General features: G+C 38.2%; 1 annotated feature.

Moving 5' to 3' along the window:
• Nucleotides 1,483–1,984: an enhancer, noted in NCBI's record as "NANOG hESC enhancer chr12:61785065-61785566 (GRCh37/hg19 assembly coordinates)". NCBI's record gives its function as "activates a minimal SCP1, AML or CMV promoter by ChIP-STARR-seq in naive H9 embryonic stem cells {active_cell/tissue: H9 hESC(naive)}" and the evidence as "EXISTENCE:reporter gene assay evidence [ECO:0000049][PMID:30033119]".

Raw genomic sequence — 2,962 nt, forward strand, 5'->3', positions numbered from 1 at the left:
GCCCTCCAAACTGTTCCAATTTCTAACTGTTACCCAGTTCCAAAGTTGCTTCCATATTTTTTGAGTATTTTTATAGCAGCACCCCACTCTACCAGTACCAATTTACTGTATTAGTCCATTCTCACACTGCTATAAAGAACTGCCAAGTCTGGGTAAAAAATAAAAGAGGTTTAATTGACTTGCAGTTCTGCAGGGCTGGAGAGGACTCAGGAAACTTACAATCATGGTGGAAGGGGAAGTAAACATGTCCTTCTTCACATGGTGGCAGGGAGAAGAATGAGAGCCTAGTGAAGGAGGAAGCCCATTATAAAATCTTCAGATCTCATGAAAGCTTACTATCACAAGAATAGCATGGGGGCAACTGCCCCATGATTCAATTACCTCCCACTGGGTTTCTCCCATCGTGCATGGGGATTATGGGAACTACAATTCAAGATGAGATTTGGGTGGGGATACAGTCAAACCATATTATTAGGTGATTACAGATTCACAAAAACAAAGGATAGATATTTTCATAAAGGAGAGGCTGGCTATCACTGTCAAATGCCACAGGGAATTTCAGAAGAGTGAAATATGAGAAAAGAATACAACCTGGAAGTGTTGGGGAACTCTTAAGGGCAATTTTAGTAGGATTTGAAAGTAAAAGTCAGATAACAAAAGCTTAATATTGCAATAATTGGCAATGAAATAACAACATTAAATATGCATAAATAGGCAGGGCACAGTGGCTCATACTTGTAATTCCAGGATTATGGGAGGCCAAGGCAAGAGGATCACTTGAGCCCATGAGTTTGAGACCATTCTGGTCAACATAACAAGACCCCATCTCTAAAAAAAAACAATACATAAATATACACACAAATATCTGAATAATCCCATGCTTTGCATGACTTTGATTTCTACTATTGTGGCAGGCCAGGTTTCCATTAGCAACCAGAACAGTCAGTTTCCACTAACCCTTTACTATAATTTTGATGAATGCAAAAGTTAAACATTAAAAAACTAGAGACACTGGTGCCTGAGTACCAAGGCTGGAGTGTGAAAACAAACCCATTAAGACCCCGCCTGGGTTTTTTCAGACACTAAAATCTGATCAAATAATATAATAACAGCATTCTGACACATACACCTCATCCCAGGGCCCACTTAAGATTAACAAACTTTCCAAAACTCTAGAGAAAGCTTTCTGGATCCTAGACCCTAAAGATTAGATATATATTGAATGAAACACTCCGCTAGTAGGTGCACTCCCATAGGTAGGCATAGAGCTTAGAATATATGTAAGCACTGAAAAACATAACTTGTAACTTTGAGTTTGTCTGGTGAGTTACTCTGACCTTCTCCTTATAATCAGTTGCAGAAATAAACTGCCCTTCCTTCCCAGTCTGCATCTCCTTATTGGACCACAAGAACGAGCAGCTGGACCTCGTTCTGTGGGATTAAATTGTCTTCAATTTAAGATAAGTTCATTAGCCACATACAAACACACCTATGCCACATACATATGAGATATATAAGATGGAATGCCATGAACAACAAAGATTCATAACAGACAAGGAAAGGGTTAGGTTCCAAATTTTAAATGGAGAGTGGTAAGCCTTGGAAAGGATGAAGCCTATTCTCTGACGAAAATTAAGATTGAGGCCAAGCACGGTGGCTCATGCCTGTAATCTCAGCACTTTGGGAGGCTGAAGTGGGTAGATCACTTAAGGTCAGGAGTTAGAGACCAGCCTGGCCAACATGGTGAAACCCGATCTCTACTAAAAACACAGCAATTAGCTGCATGTGTGAGTGGTGATGGGCACCTGCAATCCTGGCTACGCAGGTGGCTGAGGCAGGAAAATCACTTGAACACAGGAAGTGGAGTTTGCATTGAGCAGAGATCTTGCCACTGCACTCCAGACTCCAGCCTGGGAAAGAGTGAGATTCCATTTCAAAAAAAAAAAAAAAACAACAAAGAATGAAGATTAAGATTGAGAAACTAGAAATCCAGAGAAACTATTTGAAAATGGGGATTAAAAATAAGATCAATTTAATCTTTTCTGAGCGTAAAGGGGGGTAATCAGTGGAATAGAGGTGATCCTATTTCCTACAATAAAAGATTGAAAAGATTGAGATTAAAATAAGCACGCAGTTTAATCATATAGAATAATCTTGGAAGAGTTGTCACAGAGAATACAAACAAGAGTGACATGACATAAATAAGAGTGCTATTTGAATACTAGTAAGGACATAATAAAATAAACATATTGTAATGATTTTATGACTTCTAGCTGGATTTACTTGCCAGGGAATGGAGAAGGATAGAGAAAGGAACAACAGCATGAGTACTGGGACTAGGTCTTCATACAGCAGAAATGCTGGAAATTCTGTCATAAAGTGACTTAAAGATCTATAATTTATTATACATTTATTAAAAATTAATCATGAAAGTGCTTAACCATTGCTAGTTATAGAAACAACAGAAGGAAGGACAAAGTGGTAGGCTAAGAGAGGCAGAATAGCACAGAGACAACAAAATCAGGCAGAAAACTGGGTCAGCAGCAGTAAAGAAGTAGAAGAAGCCAAAGGAAAAATGAGAATTGGCTCTTTAAAAGTAAGTTAGATGAGGCTGAGGAATTCAGGGCCTTGAGTCATGTCAGATCAAATTATGGATCAGAAGCACACAAATATTGTGCAGAGGAATTTCAAACCAATTTCTTCTATAGAATACAGTGAAGTTAATTTTAAATATATGTCTTAATTATAAGAGTTACTTCTTTTAAATAAATGTCTAGGTAATTCTGCACATTTGCATGATTCTGAATTTCATGTTTGCCAATTAAGGTAATTCCATCATTCATCCACTCATCCTCTCAACCATCCATCCATCCATCCAACAAATTAAGTATGTACCATGTTCAAAGCACTACGCCAGAAAATCTATTTAAAATAGGATAGAGATGCTGTTGTCACGGAGTTC

The sequence above is a fragment of the Homo sapiens genome, chromosome 12 (assembly GCF_000001405.40).
Source record: "Homo sapiens chromosome 12, GRCh38.p14 Primary Assembly".
Classification (NCBI taxonomy): Eukaryota; Metazoa; Chordata; class Mammalia; order Primates; family Hominidae; genus Homo; species Homo sapiens.